The sequence below is a fragment of the Homo sapiens genome, chromosome 6, assembly GCF_000001405.40.
Source record: "Homo sapiens chromosome 6, GRCh38.p14 Primary Assembly".
NCBI classification, from domain to species: Eukaryota; Metazoa; Chordata; class Mammalia; order Primates; family Hominidae; genus Homo; species Homo sapiens.
Genome location: NC_000006.12, coordinates 113,775,486 through 113,800,103, shown reverse-complemented (window position 1 = coordinate 113,800,103; position 24,618 = coordinate 113,775,486). Strand labels below are relative to the sequence as shown.

At 38.1% G+C, this 24,618-nt stretch overlaps 1 pseudogene, besides 2 other annotated features; it reads left to right on the top strand.

Annotated features, from left to right (window-relative positions):
• Window positions 1-18,639: 18,639 nt before the first annotated feature.
• On the top strand, window positions 18,640-18,793 carry LOC124901510 (uncharacterized; annotated as a pseudogene).
• Window positions 22,193-22,826: an enhancer, noted in NCBI's record as "OCT4-NANOG hESC enhancer chr6:114098481-114099114 (GRCh37/hg19 assembly coordinates)". NCBI's record gives its function as "activates a minimal SCP1, AML or CMV promoter by ChIP-STARR-seq in primed H9 embryonic stem cells {active_cell/tissue: H9 hESC(primed)}" and the evidence as "EXISTENCE:reporter gene assay evidence [ECO:0000049][PMID:30033119]".
• Window positions 22,827-23,462: an enhancer, noted in NCBI's record as "OCT4-NANOG hESC enhancer chr6:114097845-114098480 (GRCh37/hg19 assembly coordinates)". NCBI's record gives its function as "activates a minimal SCP1, AML or CMV promoter by ChIP-STARR-seq in naive and primed H9 embryonic stem cells {active_cell/tissue: H9 hESC(naive and primed)}" and the evidence as "EXISTENCE:reporter gene assay evidence [ECO:0000049][PMID:30033119]".

Sequence of the window (24,618 nt, the reverse complement as noted above, 5' to 3'; positions counted from 1 at the left end):
AATAAGCATATAATGATATATATACACACATGTATACACACACTCTAACCCTAACCGTAACCATATATATGTGTGTGTGTATATATAGAGACACATTCTCATAATATATGTATATATAATATAAATACTCTGCCTATATATGTATCTGTATGTATATGCAGATATATCCATCTACCTATCTATCTTTTAGTCAGTTCAGGCTGCTATGGGCATGGTGGCTTCTAAACTACAGAAATTTATTTTTCTCAGTTCTGGAGGCTGAAAGTCTGAGATCAGGGTGCCAATATAGTCAAGTTGTCATGAGGGCCCTCTTTCAGGTTGCAGATGGCTGACTTATTGTATCCTCACATGGCAGAGAGCAGAGAGAGGAAGCAAGGTCTCTCATGATCCTTATGAAGGCATCAATCCCATTTATGAGGGCTCTACTCTCATGATCTCATTTAATCCCAATTACTTCCCAAGGTCCCACCTCCTAATACCATCACATGGGGTGGGGGTAGTGTTTCAACATATAAATTTGAGGGGGGGGCACAAACATGCAGTCCATAACTCTCTCTCTCTCTCTCATCTATCTAGCATTTATCTATTTCTCCTAATATCCTAATATATATTATATTATCTATCATCTATCTCTCCTTACATACACACATGCACGCACACAGTAATACAAACACTAATATATATTTTCTAAGTGAAAATTACACTAAGTGAAAATTACAGAATATATACATATATTCTGTGATGCCAATATTACTTTTTAAAAGTGTATATGCATGGAAAAAGGAAAAAAGAAATACTACAAAATGAAGAGTAGGTGGTGGGTTATGAATGATTTTATCATATTATTTTTTGATATGTTTTTGTAATTTTCGATATTTTCAGGTAAAGGCTAATTTGGTCGACATCAATACTCAAAAACTACTGCATTGTTAGAAATATTGCTCAGTTACCACAGATCTTATATTGCGTGGTGTATTAGCCTCCTAGGACTGCCATAACAAAATACTATGGCCTGGGTAGCTTAAATACAGAAACTCATTTCTCACAGTTCTGGAACCTGGAAGTCCCACATCAAGGTGAGGGCAGGTTTGATTTCTCCTGCAACCTCTCTCTTTGGCTTGCAGAGGCCACCTTCTTGCTGTGTCCTCACATGGCCTTTCTTCTGTGTATGCATGTCTCTGATAGATCTTCTCCTGCATGTAAGGCCACCTGTGCCATTGGGTTAGGGCCCCAGCCTTATGACCTTTTAAATCTGAGTTACCTCCTTAAAGGCCCTATCTTCATATACAGTCACATGACGGGTTAAGGATCCAACATAAACATTTTTGGAGTAGGGATCGGGATGGGGGAGCCCCATTCTTCCCATAACATGAAGCTTGTAAAAATGAGCTTTAACTTATAAAACTGACTCAAGATAAAGCAAAGAAAGTCCTTACACAAAACAAAATTTCTATGTGGATTTTTTCAGCTAGTGATTATTTGTAATATCCTCATAGACTTGAAAATCAGTGTCTAGCCTCTAAATAAATGTTTCCATCTCCATTTCCCACATCGCTACCCAAATATTTCCTCAATTATATTGTCATCTAATTATGTGAGTATGAATGATATTATTGTTAAGAATAATTTGTGCTTTAGAAATTAGCTTATCTTTGAGACTTGATCAAACAAACATTGTTTGATCAAATAAAATCAAACAATGAATTGATTTTATTTTCTGAAAATTAACCAGGCACACATTTTTGTAAATGACTTGATTATTTACATTATAATGAATGAAAATTTATGTTTAGGTCTATGAAAATGTTGTCTTAAGTATAAGAAGAATTTAGAGAACTTTATTTGTTGGGTCTGCCATTATGAATGATGTATAATATATACCTTGTTTCTCACTTGAAGATAAATATGTCTATACATAAATATGCATATAGGTGTATATACAAACAGCAAGATACATATTTTTTTCTGATTTAAAAATAATATATGGGCCAGGCGCAGTGGCTCACACCTCTAATCCCAGGACCTGGGGAAGCCAAGGCTAGCAGATGGCTTGAGCCCAGGAGTTCAAGACTAGCCTGGGCAACATAGTGAAACACTGTCTCTTAAAAAAAAAAATACAAAAATTAGCAGGATGTGCTGGCATGCACCTGTAGTCCTAGTTACTCAGGAAGCTGAGGTGGGAGGATTGCTTGAGCCCAAGAGGTGGAGGTTGCAGTGAGCTGAGATCATGCCACTGCACTCCAGCTTGGGTGACAGAGTGAGACTTTGTCTCAAAAAAAAAAAAAAAAAAAAAAAAGAAAAAAAGAAAGGAAAAGAAAAGAAAAAATAAAAAGAAAGAAAAAGAAAAGAAAAGAAACCACAACACAATAGCAAAACCATGTTCATTGTAGAGATTTTAGAAAATACAGAAAAGTATGAAGACGAAACGTATAACCATTATCCCATTACTCAGAGCTAACATGTTTAGTATGTTGCTATGTATTTGTGGCTGGCTTCCAAGATAGCACCCAATTCTCACCTCCCGCTATTCACACCCTTGTGTAGACAGCTTCTTCCCCTATGGAATCAGAATGATCTATGTGACCATTAGAATAACTGGAAAGCAGGACTGGGCATTGTAGCTCAGGCCTGTAATCCTAGAGCTTTGGGAGGCAGTGGTGGGAGGATCGCTTGAGCCCAAGAATTTGAGACCAGGTTGGGCAACATAGCAAGCCCTCATCGCTACAAAAATTTTTTTTAAAAAATTAACTGGGCATGGCAGTACATGCCTGTACTCCTAGCTACTTGGGAGGCTGAGACAGGAGGATTGCTTGAGCCCAGGAGTTCGAGGCTGCAGTGAGCTATTATTGTGCCACTGCACTCCAGCCTGAGAGACAGAGCAAGACCCTGTATCTAAATAAATAAATAATAAAATAAAATAAAGAATAACTGAAGGCTGAGCTCAGTGGCCCACACCTACAATATCAGCACTTCGAAAGGCCAAGGCGGGCAGATCACTTGAACCAGGAGTTGGAGACCAGCCTGGGCAAAATGGTGAAACCTAGTCTCTACAAAAAATTAACGAGCATGGTGGCACATGCCTGTAGTTCCAGCTACTCCAGAGGCTGAGGTAGGAGGTCAGCAGGTTGGGCTGCAGTGAGCCAGGATCCTGCCACTGCACTCCAGCCTGGGTGACAGAATGAGACCCTGTCTAAAGAAGAAAAGAATAACTTGAAAGTGACTGTGTATGATTTTTAAGTATAGGTCTTAAAAGAATTTGCAGTTTTTGATTTGATCTCTTGGATTGGTTCCCCTGAAGGAATCCAGCCACCATGTTATAAGGATGCTATGTTATGAGGATATTCAAGGATTCCTGGGGAGACCCATGGGGAGTGAAACTGATGTCTTCCACCAACAGCCAGACTCAGCTTGCTTGCCCAGTGGGTGAGCCAGCTAGGAAGTGGGTCCTCTTTCCCTGGTCAGACCTTCAGAGGACTGCAACCACTGCTAACGTCTCATTGAAACCTCATGAGAGAACCAAGGAAGAACTGCCCATCTAAGCTATTCCCAAATTCAAGACATATAAAAAACATGAGAGGTGATAAGTGATTATTGCTGTTTTTAGCTGCTAAGTTTTTGGGTGATTCAGTGAAACAATAGATAAATAATAGACTATGTTTCCAATCTTTTGTGTTATATTTATATTTTTATCCAATAAATTGTTCATTGAACATTTGTTGCAACAGTCAGGGCTGAACCACAGGGTCAGAACCAGAAGGAAATGTAGATGTGGGGTGTGTGTTTTCATGGATTCACTACAAGGAACTGACCTATGACATTGTGGAGGCTCACTAAACAAGCCTGAAGTTCACAGAGCAGGCAGCCAGGAAGGAAAATCATGAGCAGGGTGGAGTCTCAGGGGCATGACCTGAAGCTTGTTGTCCACTGGTAGCAGCCAGATAGGGATGAAGATGCAGAGCTTGAAAGGAGCAATTGCACACCCAACTGCTGTTTGGAGTCTCTGAGTTAAGTGAAGCTCTAAGTCTTCTTTTAAAAGCCTTCAAACTAATTAACCCAGGTCCACCAAGCATAATCTCTCTTTCAATTAACTTAAAGTCAACTGATGTAGTACTTTCACAAATTACATTTGTGAAACCTCTTCATAGCAGAACTTATATTAGTGTTTGAATAACTGGGAGAAGGTGCTTGCATGCCACAAAACAGCTGTTGCCTCCCTTCCATCCTCCAACTCTCAGAAGAGATTATTTCTTGTAGCCCTCTCTATTTGGAAACACAGTAGAAAGGGAACTCTAGGGGCTGTAGTTTAGCCTAACGAGGTTGCACATTACAAAGCCATCACACACTGCATATGTGCTAGACGTGATCTGTGATATGGTTTGGCTATGCCTTCACCCAAATCTCATCTTGAATTGTAGTTTCCATAATACCCATGTGTTGTGGGAGGGACCTGGTAGGAAGTGATTGGATCATGGGGGTGGTTTCCCCCATGCTATTCTCGTAATAGTGAGTGAGTTCTCACGAAATCTGATGGTTTTATAAGCATCTGGCATTTCCCCTGCTTGTGCTTCTCCTTCCTGCCACCTTGTGAAGAAGGTGCCTTGCTTCCCCTTTCGCCTTCCACCATGATTGTAAGTTTCCTGAGGCCTCCCCAGCCATGCTGAACTGTGAGTCAATTAAACCTCTTTCCTTTATAAATTACCCAGCCTTGGGTATTTCTTCATAGCAGCATGAGACTGGACTAATACAGTCTATGTCCTTGGGATACACTAACAAATAAAACAGACAAGATCACCTCCACAATGGAGCTTATAGCTTAGTAGGAAAAGACAAAAAATTAACACATGAAAAAAACTTATTCAAACAAATAATAAAAACAATATCAGAATGTGATGAATAAAAAGAAGAAAATAAAACTAGATAGTGGGATATAGGGTGACTAGTCAGATGTTGCTAAGGAGGTCGGGAAAGCATTCTTGGAAGAGATAATATTTGAGTTGAGCAGAACAACGAAAATTTATGTCTAGTAATTGAAGGCCAACAGAAGAGCCTCCCACCCCAGAAATAGCAAGTACAAGGCTCTGAAATGGAAACGAGCTAGACTTCTTTCAAGGGGCGGCAAGCAGGCAGTGTGGATGGGGCCAAATGGGAGAGGAATAGAGGGTGAGTGCAGAGAGGTAGCACAGAGCCAGGTCAGGGTTTTATTTTTGGTGAGATGGGAAACCACTGTAGGTTTAGAGCAGAAGAATGACATGATGTAACCTACATTGTAAAAGCGAGCAAGGGCTGAAGAAGGGAGACCAGTCCAGATGCCATTGCTGGAATCCAGGTAAGAGATGATGGTACTTGGGCAAGATAGATATGATGGCAGTGCCGAGTGAGAACTGATGAGAGTTTGAATATATGCTGAAGGTTTTGCTGATGGTTTGAATTTGGGGTGCATGAGAAAGAGAAGAATTAAGAATGACTACTAGAATTTCCGAACACAGAATTTTTGAATGTCTGTTTTGTTATCAAACAGGCTTGAAACAGATGGGACATTATAAAGCCAGAACCCTTCTTTCCTGAAACTTTCTTCTAGTGCTGGTTTTCCCATATTATCACCAGCTTATTACTGGTTAATGTGCTTCTCTTCTGCAAATTTTGCTTATTCAGATTCACTTAACATGAACCATGCACACAATATTACATATCAATCCTATGTCTTTCATCCATGATATATATAATTTTTAGTAAACATGTCCAAGCTGTTTTCTATATTAAGTAATATGTCTAAGATATCAATGCAGAACAATAATAACTGACTTAAAAATCATCCACAAAACTCAAACATTGTTCAAAGAATTTTTTATTGTTTATTATCTAAAGATAAATAAGTATGCCTTGCATTTGGATTGGGGTTTTCTTCCCATATTCAAAATGCTTTCTTATCATCCACCTCCTATATCTCTACAACATCCCTGAAGGAGGGCAGGGCAAGAAGGGTACACAAAACAATGGACTAAGATAGAATGAGGTCTTCTGGTTCATTGTTAAACTACGAAGTTTAAGATTTAGAGCAGAAGATACAAGGATTAGCAGGACTGTTTCTATCTTAAGTAGTTGTCAGTCTAGAAGGGGAGAAAAATATGTAAACAAATAGCTGTAAGAGATTCGATGTAATAAGTAGTATTATGAACAGCAGACAGAGATGAGTTTTGGAAACATGGAGGTGGAAGAGTCAGATTGAATGAACTCACGAGGAAAGATAGAATATGCCTCCCAAAATAGAGGCCGGGAGTGGTGGCTCATGCCTATAATCCCAACAATTTGGGGGGTTAAGACAGGAGGATCACTTGAGCCCATGAGTTTGAGACCAGCCCAGGGAATATAGTAAAACCTCATCTCTTATACTAATACTGCTACTGCTACTAATGCTAATACTAATAAGCCAGGCATGGTGGTGCATGCCTGTAGTCCCACCTCCTTGGGAGGCTGAGGCAAGATTATTGCTTGAGCCTGGGAGGTCGAGGTTGCAGTGATCTGTAATGGCACCATGCACTCCAGCCTGGGCAACAGAGCAAGACCCTATCTCAAAAAAAAAAAAAAAAAAAAGAAAAGAAAAGAAAAGAAAAGAAAAAGAATATGCCTAAAATGTCCTGTCAGTAGCATATCATAGCTTTCTTGGCACATATTTGTCATGTAAACTTGGGCCACTAGCAAGCCATGAATGTAAACAACAAAAGTAGTATATGAGTCTGTCTCAAATAACATTTCCTTGAAGTAAGCACAGAAGATATTATTGTACCACGTAGAAGAAAAAGCTTTATGGAAAACATGAGTTCTTTCCAGGGCATCGATTAAACTATGAATTTTCTGTGGCTGAAAATTTTCATCAGGTTGGTAAATGACATTGAATTTTATTTTAGAGGGGATTGAAATCTTTTACTATTTAGAACATGTTTGTTATTGACATGGAAAACCTGTGGGACTGGTCATAAATGGAGTAGGAGGAAGGGAAAACAACAAATGACAGCCAGGAAGGAGCCCTGAGGGTGCAATGGTGGCCCCGCAGTGGGGTGGCACTGTGGACATGCAACTGCTGGAACCAAAGTGACTGCCATCCTGGTAGTCATCTTGGGCACTGCAGCCTTTGCTAGACCAGTGTGCACATTTCTTCAAGCAGGGACCATGCATAGTGTAATGGCAATCAGTGTATCCTTCTGTCAAGGGAAAAAAGAAAGAAGCTTCTGTCCCTTCTGTAGGGAGGGTGAGGAAGGATGAAATCAGCAGGTATATTCTTCAGATGTTTATCTTTTCAGAGGCATTGATTTCCAATTGTAGCTAAATAATATGATCAATAAGTTAGGACACTTCCGCACACTATGCTAGGAAACATCTCTTACTTAACAAGGTTCTTCCTCTGTTCTTTTGAGTGAGGTGTCTAATGGGAGCAGTTAATTCATTGTGTTTTGAGTAATATTATTTTCTTAGAATGCCCTTAGGGAAAATCTCAGCAAATCATTAAATGTATGTATATGTGTGTATAAATACCATTGCAATAAAAGTCATTAGATTGCAAATCTCTACACAATAAAACTGTTTCTGACAGCGTGTTTATTTCAAGCACTCTTTGCTTGAATACTCTTTTAACCTCCTATACACTTGGACTTTCTTCGATGTCAAAATACATAACAGATATCCCTGACACCGAAAAAAAAAATACAATTATTCCTTAAACTATTAGCAGCCAAAGGAAAAAATGTAGAGAAATTTCAGGAGTTCAAGGGAATGCTCTGTCTTAATTTTTATATGAATGATTGAATAATGTTAATGTCAATGCATAATAGAATTAACCTGGATGGAATAAGAAATAAACTTTCTTGTTTCATGTGTATATTATCTTGATTTCAAGTTCAGAAACCCCTAATTAACTGGAATTCAGTAAAGTGAAATTGTAAGTAACCATCATTTCCTTTCTTAGAATTTCTTCAAAAGCAGAAGAAAGATCACAGGAATTAGCAGGCTGCATGGTGGTCCAATTGAGAAAAAAATGTGACTGCACCACTCTTCTGTCAAGAGTCTATGAGTGGCTGCAATATAAAAAGAAGAAAACGCACCTCAAAGACTTTAAAAAGCAACAGAAATAATGGTAGGGTCATTGTGGGGGTCAACATGGATTCACGTCAATATTTGTTACTTTCCTAGTCAAATCTATATAACTATTTAATTATAATTGTCATCAGATAATGACTATAAAATAGGAACATTTTCAACCACAAAATAAATATTAAGACAATTTTTATACACTGTTTACTAAAGCAGAAAATATATTTAAAAATTTTAGAAAAATTATCAGTCATTAAGATTGAAACAAAATGGGATGTCATTTGAGTCCACCTAAAATTTTTTTTGTCTGGTAGTTTTTGAGAAGGAGTCTCACTCTGTCTCCCAGGCTAGAGTGCAGTGGTGCCATCTTGCCTCACTGCAGCCTGTGCCTCCTGGCTTCAAGCGATTCTCTTGCCTCAGCCTCCCAAGTAGCTGGGATTACAGGCACCTGCCACCACACCAGGCTAATTTTTGTATTTTTAGTAGAGATTGGGTTTCACCATGTTGGCCAGGCTGATCTTGAACTCCTGACCTCAAGTGATCCACCCACCTCAGCCTCCCAAAGTGCTGGGATTACAGGCGTCAGCCACCACGCCCTGCCTAAAGTTTTTATTATCTGAAAGACCTCTGTCCTTTAACTTCAGGCAATAATTAACTTTCCATTTTGCTTTGGCCTAGGTATTGCCACTTTTAAAATGAATTCTAATAGCTAAAGGCATAAACTATTTAGTAATTACTAGAACTATTTTCTGAACTTACGAAAAAAATTAAAATTTCAAAGCAAGCATGTAGGGAAATTTAAGGTAACCTCTTTTCTGCTCCCAAATTTAATTGTACATGTACTCATGATTATGTGATCATATGCTCAAAACATTGTGTGAACTGTTAGTTTGTTTCTCATTCTATTTCTGTTTTGTTTTGTTTTGCTTTTGGCTGTTATCAGAGCTAATTCACTCAACAAGCAGGTCCCAATTTGCATGGAAAAATATTATCTCTCTGGTTTTCTAATATCCATAACAAAGGAAATCTAGCCAAGCATCCCATTCCAGATTTAGTGAGGATGACATGTTTGGCAGGAAGAAGAATATGATTTACCAATTGAAGAGCAGAATATCAAAGTGAGGAGAGTAAAAAAAAAAAAAAAATTTAAATAGATCTCTATTTTCATAGGGAAAGCTGATGAAAATAACATTAAAAATAAAAGCTATCTCTTTAAATTGATTTCTGTGGTCTTTATTAATATTTAATATTTCAATTTTATGTGCTATATTTCCTTTGGTAATCTTCTGTTTTCATGGACAAGTTCAGTCTATAAATGTGCACTTATTGTCAGTAAGTTCCATCTTCCTCTCATACCAGGCCTTATTTAAAGCTAAACAAATTCATTCCGGATTTTAGGTGTATATGTTGTGGAGTTTTTGTTTCATTTTGTTTTTAAGTTGCAAGTGTAAGACACAGTTCAGACACTAGCACTAAATAAAAATGATTGCAAATTTATTACTTTTCTAAAGATTCTGGAAGGGTCCCTTTTTATAGGCTAGATCATAATTTTAAATGTTACTGTGAAAGCAGGCACACAGCACAGTGGTCTTCTGTCTGACCAACTGCTTCTAATGTTTAACCCAGCATCCCCGAGCAGCTCTCAGGAACCCTTTGGGTCTAGCTTCTGTATCTGTGAAATGAGGGCTTGCACCAGCTAATTACTAAAGGTCCTCTTGTTACTTTATGATTCTATAAAAACAATTATCTTTGCAGTGTTCTTTTAAAATAAGATATAGGGGAAACTTTGGATCTTTTAGTATAAGAACTGAAGAAAATAGGGAGCAGAAAGTTGTAATTGAATGTTTACCAAAGATACACATTCTTATAAAAATTCTCATACAGAACTAGGTAAAATGAGAGTCCCACCAACAGTATCCGCGTGCGCTGAATTTTTTTCGTTTTAATATGTTTTGATACACTGTTGTGCCAGTGCTAACAAAATGAGTTTTCAAGCAATAATGTTTTCCCAAAGGAAAAAATGGTCGGTTTTTGTCCGTGTGGGAAGTGTGTGGGCAGGACTCTCAACTTTCAGGAAAACTTCTGTCTTTTTAGAAAGAGATTTTCCAGATACTTTTTGAATTACTTCTCTGAAAATAATGAGAAGTCTATGAAAACAGAATTGTCACAACTACTTGCTTGTTGGTGGGGGTGACCTGTGGCTGCTTCCACCTCTCTAGGTGTTGAGAGCAGAAACCAAGACGAAGGAGGGAGAAGATGCCCACAGTGAGGCCAGGGAGCAGTGGGCCCATGGCTGCTTTGGATCATTATCTGATTAACCAGATCTCCACAAGGGATATAGATTGTGGATATATAATGTTTGTGTCCCACCAAATTTATATACTGAAGTTCTAATCCTACTCTTAATTTCTGAAATATGATAATTTTTATGTTGAAATACCGTATGTGTCAGTGTTAGAAGATAAGGCCTTTGGGAAGTGATTATGTCATGAGGGGAGAGCACTGATGAATGAGGTTAGCGCCCCTATGAAAGAGGCCCCAGAGAGACCCTTGCCCCTTCTACCATGTGAGGACACAGAAAGAAGGCACCATCTACGAACCTGAAAGCAGGTCATTACCAGACACTCAATCTGCCAGTGCCTTGATCTTGGACTTCCCAGCCTCCAAAACGGTGAGAAATGAACTTCTCTTGTTTATAAGCCACCCAGTTTATGGTATTTTGTTATAGCAGCCTGAGTGAACTGACACATTTGTTATGGGTTGAATAGAGTCCTCTCAAAATTCCTGTGTTGAATTCCTAACCCCTAGTACCTTAAAATGTGACTTTTTGGCTGGGCGCAGTGGCTCACTCCTGTAATCCCAGCACTTTGGGAGGTCGAGGCAGGCAGATCACCTGAGGTCAGGAGTTTGAGACCAGCCTGATCAACATGGAGAAACCTCGTGTTTACTAAAAATACAAAATTAGCCGGGCTTGGTGGTGCATGCCTGTAATCCCAGTTACTCAGGAGGCTGAGGCAGGAGAATCACTTGAACCCGGGAGGTGGAAGTTGCAGTGAGCAGAGATCATGTCATTGCACTCCAACCTGGGCAACAAGAGTGAAACTCCGTCTCAGAAAAAAAAAAAAAAAAAAAGATGTGACTTTTTGTAGAGATACGGTCTTTATGGAGGTAATCACCATAAAATGAGATCAGCAGAGTGGACCCTAATCCAATATGACTGGTGTTCTTATAAATAGGGGTGAATTTGGACACAGATGCACAGGGAGAATGTCATGTGAACACAAAGGCACTGATTTACAAGCCAAAGAGAGAGACCCTGGAATAGATCCTTTCCTGACAGCCCTCAGAAATAATCCTGCCAACACCTTGATTTTGAACTTCTAGTTTTCGGAACTGTGAGATAATAAATTTCTGTTGCTGAAACCACTCAGTTATGACACTTTTTTACTACAGCCATGGCAAACTAATACAACACCCAGTCTAAATAAATTTAAGGATTCAGTAAGCAGCAAAAATCCTAATCATATTTGAGCTATCTCACAGAGTTAAGTAACATTTTTGTTTCTTTGAAGTAAAATTTTCTTGTGGTTTTATGGGTAATCAAACTAATTTTTAACTGAAAAATAATGTATGTATGTATGCATGTGTGTATGTATGCACACACACATATATTGTATAAAATGTTAAACTAACTGAGGCTGGGCATGGTGGCTCTCTCCTGTAATCCCAGCACTTTGGGAGGCTGAAGCAGACTGATGACTTGAGGACAGGAGTTTGAGACCAGCCTGGGCAATATAGCAAGACCCTGTCTCTATAAAATATCAAAAAAGCTAGCCTGGTGGGATGACTAATGCCTATAATCCCAGCTACTTGGGAGGCTAAGTGAGAGGATTGTTTGAACCCAGGAAGTTGAGGCTGCAGTGAGCTGCGATTGCAGCACTATACTCCAAGCCTGAGGAATAGAGCAAGACCCTGTCTGAAAAAAAGAAAAGTTAAATGATATAGAATATAAAATAAAAGTCATTCTTCATCTCCCTTTCCTCAGTTTTAATTACCTCCCTAGAAGTTAGCTGTTTGGAACCTAACATTATAGTTTTACAGTGCTTGATTCTTAATTCTACACTGTACAGACTTGAGTAAGATTCTAGCCTGATTTTGGAGTTTTGCTAAAACATCACATTTAGAGTTCATGTTGTGGAACTATGTTATAAGTAGGATCTTACACTTCTACTATCTCAGCACTATGGATAGGCTCCAAAATAGGCCTGTTATTTTAAAATTCCATTCTGTAATAGGCCACATGTTTAGAATTTAGTATATTACCAAGCAAGGGAAAATTTTAAAATATCAGTTATCAACTGTGTTTTTCTCTGGCTTTGTTTTTTACTTATTATTATTATTATTATTTTTGAGAAAGAGTTTCGCTCTTGTTGCCCAGGCTGGAGTGCAATGGTGTGATCTCAGCTCACTGCAACCTCCACCTCCCAGGTTCAAGCAATTCTCATGCCTCAGCCTTCCAAGTAGCTGGGATTACAGGCATCCGCTACCATGCCCAGCTAATTTTTTGTATTTTTAGTAGAGTTGGGGTCTCACTGTGTTAACCAGGCTGGTCTCGAACTCCTGACCTTAGGTGATCCACCCACCTTGACCTCTCAAAGTGCTGGGATTACAGGTGTGAGCCACCATGCCTGGCCAATTTTTTTTTTCTCTTTTTGAGAGGGAGTCTCGCTCTATCACCCAAGCTGGAGTGCAGTGGCACAATCTCAGCTCACTGCAACCCCTGCCTCCCAAATTCAAGTGATTCTCTGGCCTCAGTCCCCTAAATAGCTGGGATTACAGGCACGTGCCACCATGCCCAGCTAATTTTTGTATTTTTAGTAGAGATGGGGTTTCACCATGTTGGCCAGGCTGGTCTTGAACTCCTCTCGTCAAGTGATCAGTCTGCCTTGGCCTCTCAAAGTGCTAGGATTACAGGCTTGAGCCACTACGCCTGGCCTATTGCTTAAAATATTTTTATAGTTAAGAAAAGAACAATTCGATTGAGGGAATGGGGAGATGTTGGTAGAAAGCATCAGTTAGAATGGATAAGTTCTAGAGGTTTATTGTAGAACATGTTGATTATAGTTCATAATAGTAAATGTATACTTGAACATTGCTAAGAAATTAGATCTTAAATGTTCCATCACACACACATGCACACACAAAGATAAAAGTATGTGAGGTGATGGATGCGGAAATTAGCTTGATGTAATCATTTTAGAATGCATATATATATATCTAAACATTATGTTGTATACTGTAAATATATATAATTTTTATTTGTCAATTGTATCTTAATAAAACAAGTGAGGGGAAAAAAAAGGAACAACTGACTACCTTGTGTTCAAGCTGTTTTCTAGAAACCAGGAATAAATTACCTGCCTTCTATGAAGTTTGAGTCAGTTACACCATAGTGATACTCTTTTTACAGACAACTCAATAAATCAGTAGCTCACCTGCCTGAAATAATAAACTAGTACTTCAGCTATTAAGATTCTGAACAGATTAAATTAATATTACAAAAGCCACACAAGACAGCTCATAGAGTGATAGACATGTTCCTTCAGTCCTTACTTGGTGTCTGTACACTCATGATTCATATATCATTCTAACATTTTTTCCTGATGTAGTTCCTGGGTCCAAAGTCCTCTTCACACAAAGGAGGCAACATTTTACTTCTAATATGCTTCCTGGTTAAGATTAAGAAGAAAAAATTAAACTCCTAGTCATTAGGAGAGAACCAAAAGCTATAAAACGCTACAGTAGGTTGAAAACAGTTGTCTGGAGTCATTTTGTAACAAGGAAAAACGTCCCACTTGATTCTTTGTCTTAAAGTCATCCTTATATTAGAATTATTTTAGTTAGTATTTTTTTGTTGTTTTTGAGACAGAGTCTCCCTCTGTCACCCCGGCTGGAGTAAAACGGTGCAATCTCGGCTCACTGCAACCTCCGCCTCCCAGGTTCAAGCGATTCTCCTGCCTCAGCCTCTCGAGTAGCTGGGATTCCAGGCACATGCCACCAAGCCTGGCTAATTTTTGTATTTTTAGTAGAGACAGGGTTTCACCATGTTGGCCATGCTAGTCTTGAACTCCTGACCTCAAGCAATCCGCCTGCCTCGGCCTCCCAAAGTGCTGGTATTACAGGTGTGAGCCACCGCGCCTGGCCTTATATTAGAATTATTAATAACCGAAGCTCAAAAGTGGTCCTGGATCATTTTGAAAAAAAAAAAAGTGTTGTTATCAATATGCCCTCTTTAAGAAGGTAGAAAATTGTGTAATATATTTAAGAATGATTTCTGGCCGGGTGTGGTGGTTCACACCTGTAATCCCAGCACTTTGGGAGGCAGAGGCAGGTGGGTCACTTGAGGTCAGGAGTTTGAGACCAGCCTGGCCAATGTGGTGAAACCGTCTCTTCTAAAAACACAAAAAATTAGCCAGGCGTGGTGGCACACACTTGTAATCACAGTTACTCAGGAGGCTGAGGCATGAGAATTGCTTGAACCCAGGAGGCAGAGGTTGCAGTGAGCTGAGATCGTGCCATTGCACTCCATCCTGGGTAACAGAGTGAGACTTTGTCTCAAAAACAAAATAAAACAAAACAAACAAAGAATGATTTCCACCTAAAGTTGCTCAAATATCAAAAAGGTTTGGTACTTAAAGAGGGAAAGATTGGTTATCTGAAAAATGTTGCTCTCTAGATAGATGAGATTTTATTATATCCTAATTAAAGTATTTCACTTAAAAAAATAAAGTATTGGCCGGGTGTGGTGGCTCACACCTGTAATCCCGGCACTTTGGGAGGCCAAGGAGGGTGGATCACCTGAGGTTAGGAGCTCAAGACCAGCCTGGCCAACATGGTGAAACCCTGTCTCTACTAAAAAATACAAAAATTAGCCAGGCATGGTGGCGGGTGCCTATAGTCCCAGCTACTTGGGAGGCTGAGGCGGGGAGAATTGCTTGAACCTGGGTGGCAGAAGTTGCAGTGAGCCGATATTGTGCCACTGCACTCCAGCCTGGGCAACACAGCGAGACTCTGTCTTGGAAAATAAATAAATAAATAAATAAATAATAATGAAGTATTTCATTTATTAAAATACCTGCATTTATGATTATACCTTAGTCTATTGGACTTTAGTAAGATAGAGTTTTATTCCATTGGTTGACAGTAAATTTTATATATATATATATAAACTTAAATGTGTGTGGTACTGTTATTTTATTAGGCAAGATGATAGCTATATTGTGTCAGAATAAAGTGCGCCCCACAGCATTAGTATACAGGATAGGGTCACTAAGATGAATGGACTTCAAATGAAGAGGCAAGTAAAATGTATAGTTTTCACTTATTTATAAAAAGCCTACGGTAAAGGAGAATCAAGAGACCATAAAAAGATGATGTACTGTTGGCAATTTTACAGGTATCTTCTTTTCCTTAGCATCATACCAACTGGCCCATTGTTATTCAAATCATATTCAAATAGTCCAAAAATGTCAGTTTAGGATTGAAAACAATTAAAGGCTGGGTACATATCAGATGAAGTTTTCAGCATTATAATTAAATGAAGGCAATATTTGTCATATGGAACAAAGGAACTGTCTAGTAATAAAATTTACACCAACTTCTAAACAATGAACTTATGCATGCATGCTATTTGGTGATTCCTTGATAACATATCTAAGTGTGAAGTTAGGTGCATTAAGCTAACAAAGGAAAAAAGCTTATTTATAACAGCACTGTAGGCAGAGGTCTTTGAAAGTGCAAAGATACCATCTTCCCTTCCCAGGGAGCAATTGCTTTGCACAGATGCTCTACAAATATCAAGCACAAGGAACCTGGGTTTTAATTACAAAGTAAAATATCATTTCAAAATTGCATAATTGGTGGTTGCCTTTTGCAATGCAATGAGCATAAGGGAAACTGACATTAAATGTTTGATGTGTTGCCATGACATTTTCTGAAATTTTATTTTATGCTGCTTTTAAGCTGCAAAGTATGTTAAATTTGAATTCTTTAAAGGGTGGGTTAACAGAATGATACAGTTAAAAAACCTGACTCTGATGTTGGAATGCCTATGTTCACAAATTGTACAGTTCAGATTTTAGAAAAAAAGTAAATACAGAAGTAAAGACATAATGGGGTCTTTATGTTCTCCTTACAGTAGTGACATGTTTTCCTGGAGATAGAGCCCATTTAGTCAGGGAGGGATGTCTCTAGCTTTCCCTTTGAGTAAAGGGAAAAATAATAGAATGAGGAAAATACAGTGGCAGTCAGTGCCCACCACATTTGAATGTTTAGGCCATTGAAATTGAGAGAAAAATGTCACAGACGCTGTGTAGTTACAGAGCTGCTGGAAGGAACAGTGGTAGGACTGGTGTTGCTCTAGTTTTCTCTGTTCCAGAAAATGTCTTCAACCATTATATATATACTGCTTGCCTGGTATGCACTGGAGTATATACTATTTGCTCAGCAGGGTTTGACTTCAAGAAGTCATCTATTCTATCTGTAAGAGCAAAGGACAATTAGGTGTTGAATATTTTTCCTCATAGTAATGTAGTGGAAGAATATAAATAAATAAATTTATTTATTTTAATTGAATTTAATTTTATTTTGAGACAAGGTCTTTCTCTGTCACCCAGGTTGGAGTGTGGTGGCACAATCGTGTCTCACTGTAGCCTCAACCTCCGGCACTCGATTGATTCTCCCACCTCAGCCTCCTGAGTAGTGAGACTACAGGCACCTGCCACCATGCCTGGCTAATTTTTGTACTATTTTTGTAGAGACAATGTCTTGCTATATTGCCTAGGCTGGTCTCAAACTCCTGGACTCAAGCAATCTGCCTGCCTTCATCTCCCAAAGTGCTGAGATTACAGGCATGAACCAACACATCCGGCCCTTAAAAAAAAAAAAAAAAAAAAAAAAAAAAAAAAAATATATATATATATATATAAAATTAAATTATATATATAATTAAATATATATATATTTAATTAGAGATGAGGTCTTACTATGTTGCTCAGACTGGTCCTGAACTTCTGGGCTTCAGTGATCCTCTAGCCTGGGCCCTCCAAGATGCTGGGATTACTGGCATGAGCCACCATGCCTGGTTGAAAATAAATGATTAATGGGGAAAATACAAAGCCTTGGGTTGTTAAACCATTTATTCTCTCTTAAGACACCTACTGACTCATACAGGAAGATGCCTTCTTGGGTGGATACAATATATTTTGAATGCTTCCCTACTTTTGACTGCTTAATGTTCATATTGAAATAAGTATTGTTAGGAAGGCTGAGAATGAAATTGAGCCCAAGGAAGTGGTTCACAGCCCTCCTCAGGTAGCATCCTCATATTTTACTAAACATTAGCATTTCTTACTCAGTTATATTTTGGGGTCAGTTCCTCTGCCCCAAATGGACATTTTTTGTTTGTTTCAATGTCATTATTGAAATGTCATTATTGTCAAATAACAGAAGTAGGACCACCTATATACACAAACAACCTGTATTTCTGGCATTTTCCTTAATTTTAGAAATATGCATAAAAGTCATTGTAAGCAGAGAAAGACCAAGACTCACTAGACTAATGAAAGAAGCTCAAGGCCGACACTCAAATTTTCCCTTCTTTCCTTTAAAATGATGATTTCATTATGAATTTAAAATATCAAATTATTTCTGTTGATATTACTGATAATATTACTTGCATTTATGAAGCAACACATATGCAAGATATTGATGAAGAAGCACTTCTGTTAACTGCTCTATAGGAAGTTGAAAGTCTTTCTCCCACAGTTGTTCAGCTTGAGGGCTAGAACTCCAGAACTATCTTGTATTTCATGGTTTTTTTTTGCCTGTTGCCATGAAAAAATTTAGCCTGTCTCCAAATGAACATTCCCATTTTATATGCCCTTTTTAAATATCATGCTTTAGATACGAAAGTGCACCCAAATCAGGCCCATTATGACATGCATAGAGGTTGGATTAATATGGAGGCTTCTAATTCAGCCAAAACAATTCTTCTTTTTAAAATTATGGTGCTATTTTTATTAGGTTGATCACCAAAATAATTGATTTGATTTTGTGTGTAAGCTGCTTGAAGGAATGCTGCAGATGGACAATTTTGAATACTATAGGCTGGGCGCAGCATCTCATGCCTGCAATCCCAGCACTTTGAGAAGCGAAGGCCAGAGGATCACTTGAGGCCAGGAGTTTGAGACCAGACTGGGTAACAGAGCAAGACCTCATCTCTACAAAAAAATTTAAAAAAAATATATATGTATATATAGCCAGGTATGGTGGCATATGCCTGTAGTCCCAGCTACTTGGGATGCTGAGGTGAGAGGATCACTTGAGCAAGGGAGGTTGAAGCTGCAGTGAGCCATGATTGTACCACTATATTCTGACCTGGGTGACAGAGCAAGCTCCTACCTCAAATATATATATATGTATCTTTGGTCTACATCTATTTTCCAAGAGTGATTGCTGATTCAGTGAAAAATCTATGCTTTAAAAGATATATCAAAGACTATACTTCCCAGCATCATTGCTATGGTTCATTACTAGAAAAGTTTCTCCAACTTTGTAGAGCACTAGGAGCCAGAAGGAGGAGGTGCAGTGTTCTCTCTTTAGTGTGAAGCCAGCTTTGCTCTTCGGGAAGGAATGCAGTCTGAGCGATTCCATTTTTAATTTAAGAATTTTTTTCTTAAAAAAAGATACAACAAAGAGAATCCAAACACCAGGTTAATAAGGTGGTGAAGATTCTGAGAGTTGTAGGAGATGTTGTAATAATCCTAGTTATATTTCTTTCTCATATAAAAATGAAGGAACAGGATTTATTTTATCAACTCTATAGAAGATTTGTTTAATCTCCTATAGAGAGTACATGTGTATCTTTACAATCAGGATTAAAAATATTATTTTCAACAATTGGCAGGCTAAATTTGTACTAGAAAGCTAAATTTAGGCCTTAGATAAATGTAGTAAGTATATTTTACTCAATGTACATTTATGCAGATTTTTCAATAGTGGTAAGTTGTAGTGCCTTGGTTCAAGACACTGAAACAAGTAAGCAGAAAATCTCATTTTCAGAAATAAAAAAAAAATAAGGAGAAAAATCAATTTGTAAAAGACCACATCCGTTCAAATGAAGTGAAAATAACAGCTATAATAGACTTTGATGTTCACAGAATATACTTATGGGAATTATGAACCAATTTTATTTCCTGTTGTTTATAATAGATTAACAATATATATAGACTTTTACTTTTTAATTCCTTATTCATGGTTCTTGGCACATAGTTTAAAATGTTTGTTGTTTTTTAAGTAAAAGAATGAATGATACTATATTGGAGAATAATTCAATCTAGTTTTGTTGGTATGACTTAGGCTCATATCTGATTTGCTCTATAACAGTCATATTATTATATAATTTATCAGCAGTAAATGATCATGATTATATATGGGTTCACATTCATAAAACATATATAATATAAAAACCCAGGTTGTTTCACTTGAAATGGTTTTCAAAGGTTCAGTACAGACCAAATGCCTTTCACCTCTAAAACATCCAACACAGCTGAAAATAATACGTTGAAGTCAGTGAGTGAATAGTAGTTATTTTGTAGATTATCATGAGTGGGGTTGATACAGAGATTTAAAAAGTCTATTGTCTTGTTTTTAAGTTTCACACCAGTAGCCCATGTATGCACTTTAACTCCAAAAGCTAAATGTTTGGGAATGAGTCCTTATTTATTTCCTTCAGTTCTGCCTAGAATGTTCTTGCCTTCCCTTCTGCCTATCCAAACCCTCAGAACCAATCTAAAATATCACCATCTACAGCCCTGTTTCCATGAGAACTTTAAAATTCTAACCCCAACGCGGTGTTATAACCTTCACTGAGCCCCAATGTTATTATTATACCTTTCTTATACCACTTTCTATATTCTGCCTTTTTACCTGTGTCATTTACCAAACGGCTATTATAAGCTGCTTATAACTATTAGCTTTTAGTGATATTCTTATATTCTAGTATTTTTAGCGTGTTTTGCATATACCAATTACTTAATAAATACTTGCTGACCTGGGTCAACAGCTGTCTTCCTGCCAACCACAAGATACCATTTAGAATTTTCTTACTGTCAGGAGCTAGTCATCTGTTTGTTGACCTCTTCCTGCTCCACAATGATAAAAATACAGTCTAATAGAGATATTGAGCTCACCTCAGAGCTTTGCTAAGAAGTTCAAAAAAATTATACACAATAGCTAACATTTATTCATATTTTACTATGTGTCAGACATATCAAGGTCACTGTGCTAAGGCTTGTGTGCTAAGACTTGTATAATCATGATCTCATTTATGTCTCAGAATAATAATTTTGTGTAATAATAGTTTTACCCCATTGAGATCTTAGAATTATTAAATAACCTGCTTAACGCTACTCAACTCACTAATGGCAAAGCAAAGACTTAAGCCCATGCACCTAACTACTAATTCTATTGTGTCTATTCAAGTGCCCAAAGCCAGTCAAGAAGCAGGAAGAACTGAGTTCTAGAGTTCTTAGTGCATGGTTGGGCAAGCGGTTCATTTTGACCCCTTGATGCTTATTTATTTAATTTATTTATTTGAGACAGAAGTTACTATCTTGCCTAGCTGACCTTGAGCTCCTAGGCTCAAGTGATCCTTCCACTTCAGCCTTCCAAGTAGCTGGGACTGACTACAGGCTTGCACCACTGCATCGTGTGATGCTTTTTTTCTAAATGAATATTGTAAATCCAGTAATATATCTGAAACATTAGGTACATAGAATATTTGTGGAAGTATTAAGCCAGGTAAATATGGTATTTATCGAAACATAATACCTTAAGTTGAATTTTAGTTTAAGAATTTGTTTCATTTATATCAAGTGCTATAAATTACAAAACATTTTCACATACATTATATATCACTAGATTCTTACAACCAATAGGTCACTGGCTATATATTATCTGGCTTTACTGCACAGGATTTGGGTTTGAGAAAGGGTAGGTAACTTTTATCAAATCACACAGCAAGTAAATGTCCAAGAATTAGCTTTTTTATTACACTTTTCTGACTCTAGGACATGGTAGCACGTATTAATAGCTCAACATGTAATGTGCATTTATAAGCAAGATTCCACAAAACTACTAGACATACATGTTTACTATTTCTGTATGTATTTATTTATTTTTGAGACAGAGTTTCACTCTTGTCGCCCAGGCTGGAGTGCAGTGGCGTGATCTCAGCTCACTGCAACCTCCGTCTGCCTCCTGGGTTCAAGTGATTCTCCTGCCTCAGCCTCCCGAGTAGCTGGGATTACAGGCACCCACCACAATGCCCAGCTAAGTTTTGTATTTTTAGTAGTGACAGGGTTTGGCCATGTTGGCCAGGCTGGTCTCAAACTCCTGACCTCAGGTGACCCATCCTCCTCAGCCTCCTAACGTGCTGGGATTACAGACGTGAGCTACCACGCCTGGCCCTACAATTTATTAATAACAACAATAATAGTAGCTTTACCACATTCACACAGGTTGAGCACATAAATTATCAATCATTCAAATCAGGACCCCTTGAGAATGACAAATACCAAACTAACTGAGAAGCTGGAAAACAAGCATAAATTGAGACGAGCTTAGACAAACTGGGATATGTGATTCTGTAATTTTAATAGCACCTGTCATGTGCTAGGTCTTACTCCAAGAACTTTACATGAACTAACTCAATGAATTCTCTTTTTTTTTTTTTTTTTTTTTTTTTGAGACGGGGTCTCGCTCTGTCACCCAGGCAGCTGGAGTACAGTAGCATGATCTCGGCTCACTGCAATCTCCGTCTTCTGGGTTCAAGCAATTCTCCTGCCTCAGTCTCCTGAGTAGCTGAGATTACAGATGCCTGCCGCCACAACTGGCTAATTTTTGTATTTTTAGTAGAGACAGAGTTTCACCATGTTGGCCAAGCTAGTCTTGAACTCCTGACCCCAGGTGAGCCACACACTTCAGCCTCCCAAAGTACTGGGATTACAGGCATGAGCCACTGCACCCGGCCTCCATTAATTCTTATGAAGTAAGAATTACGCTCATTTTTCAAATTAGCTTTTTGTGAGATGTCCCAGGCCACAAGGCATTTGTGGATTCTTTCCAATGCACTTTGCTGTCTTCAATCTCTTCGCTTGCCTAATACAGGGAAAGGGAGAGCAAAGGCCAAGAAGATAAGGATTTGGATAATGGCAGGCAATGATTATCAGAATTTAGTGGCTGAAAAAGTTATCTAGCTGTTTTCCAATGCCAGTATCAGCATAGAAGTTCGTGGGAAGCCATCACAATTTTATACCAAGTAAGTGTAAGTAACATCTAACAATCTTACTGATTACCCTTTTTCTATTGCATGCTTACACACTTTAGGTTTTGATGTACTTGGTGCTCTTGGAAAACTATTTGAAGATCTGTGAACAATTACCTAGGTAGAGCCATTAGCAGATAACTTATGTATGTTTCTAGGTGAATTGAGGCAACCGATCATGATTAATATACTAGGCTTCAACCTGAGATCGATCCCAATTTCACTGCAGAAAGATCTCAGGCTGGTCCTGACTCTGCTAAGGCTAAAGTTTGTTTGTGTTTTCTAAGTGGGTGTCATTTGTGTGAAGTCCTGAACCACGTCTTTAAGTACATTCTTTTCTTCTCTGCTTTATCTTCTGAGCTTGTTGAGAGGAGATTGTTGGCATTCCACTTCACTTGTCAAGCTGCGTAGAAAAGACTGGAGATCTACAAGTGAAAGGAAATATTTCAACAAACAATGCCTGGTGCTTACAATCTGATCACTTTACAAACAAATGGATGCTTTCTCTATTGTGCAAATGACCTCATCATGGAAAGTAGATTAAGCTCAGCATCACTCTACTCAGAGCTATCTTCCAACACTTCTCATAATCCTCTGCTTATTCTCTTACTCCATTGTTCCCTAAAACAACAGAGAAAACTCTGAACAACAATGTTCATTTGATTATTTTAAAGAATGGGTAAATATTTATACCTTCAAATAGTTAAATGTAAATAATGTTTTTGTTAAGTGTGGTAAATTACATTCACAACTACCTTATAAAGCAACCTCTATTTTGGGCAGGCATTATTCTTGGACCTCTTTCATGACTTATTTTATTCCCACAATATTCTGGGCAGCACTACTTTTTCCATTCTATACATAACAAAATCAAGGGTCAAAGAGATTACATAACTCACTCAAGGTCAACTGTAAATTCTTCAAGAAATAAATATGTTGCCTCGGTTGCTACCAATTTTTAAAAAATTGTCAAAAAAGGTACAAGAATATTTACAATGCTCTTTATTATTTTTGTGCCTTAATTTGCCAATCATTATGCCAAATTATTTTAATACATGTTTGTATTTTAGTTTTACCATAACTTTAGGAAAAATTCACTATTATCTTCATTTTACAGATGAGAAAAAGATGGTTACATAGTTTATCCAGGGTGATCAAGAAATAGTAGAACTGGAATTCAAACCTAAATCTGTCTGACAGCAAAGAAATCTTCATTATACTAAATTATTATTATTATTATTATTATTATTATTAGAGACAGAGTCTCGCTCTGTTGCCTAGACTGGAGTGCAATGGCATGATCACAGCTCACCGCAACCTCCACCTCCCAGGTTCAAGCAATTCTTCTGCCTCAGCTTCCTGAGTAGCTGGGATTACAGATGTGTGCCACCATGCCTGGCTAATTTTTGTATTTCTAGTAGAGACAGGGTTTCACCATGTTGGCCAGGCTGGTTTGAACTCCTGACCTCAAGTGATCTGCCCACCTTGGCCTCCCAAAGTGCTGGAATTACAGGCTTGAGCCACCACGCTGGCTCTAGATTATTTTTAATAGTGCAACTGATGTCCTTTAATAAAGCATTCTGTCCATCATTGATAAACTTTTGCAACTTTAAGTTATTTTTTGACTTTTTTCTTTCCCCACAAATTTATATCCAGACTGATGAACTAAATATTTCTATTTGGAATTCTTAAGTTAAATTCTTCTACCATATGATGACCTTTCATTTATTTAGACAAAAGAAAAAAATCTTAGGTGTTTAAGGAAGTGATTCTAGAAATTAACTAATTAAATTGGATAAAGAAAATGACACACAGGGCCGGGCACGGTGGCTCACGCCTGTAATCCCAGCACTTTGGGAGGCTGAGGCGGGCAGGTCACCTGAGGTCAGGAGTTCGAGACCAGCCTGGCCAACATGGTGAAACCCCGACTCCATTAAAAATACAAAAAATTATCCAGACTTGGTGGTGGGTGCCTGTAATCCCAGCTAATCCAGAGGCTGAGACAGGAGAATAGCTTGAACCTGGGAGACGGAGGTTGCAGTGAGTGGAGATCGCACCACTGTACTCCAGCCTGGGTGACAGAGCAAGACTCTGTCTCAAAAAAAAAAAAAAAAAAAAAGAAAAGAAAAGAAAAGAAAATGACACAC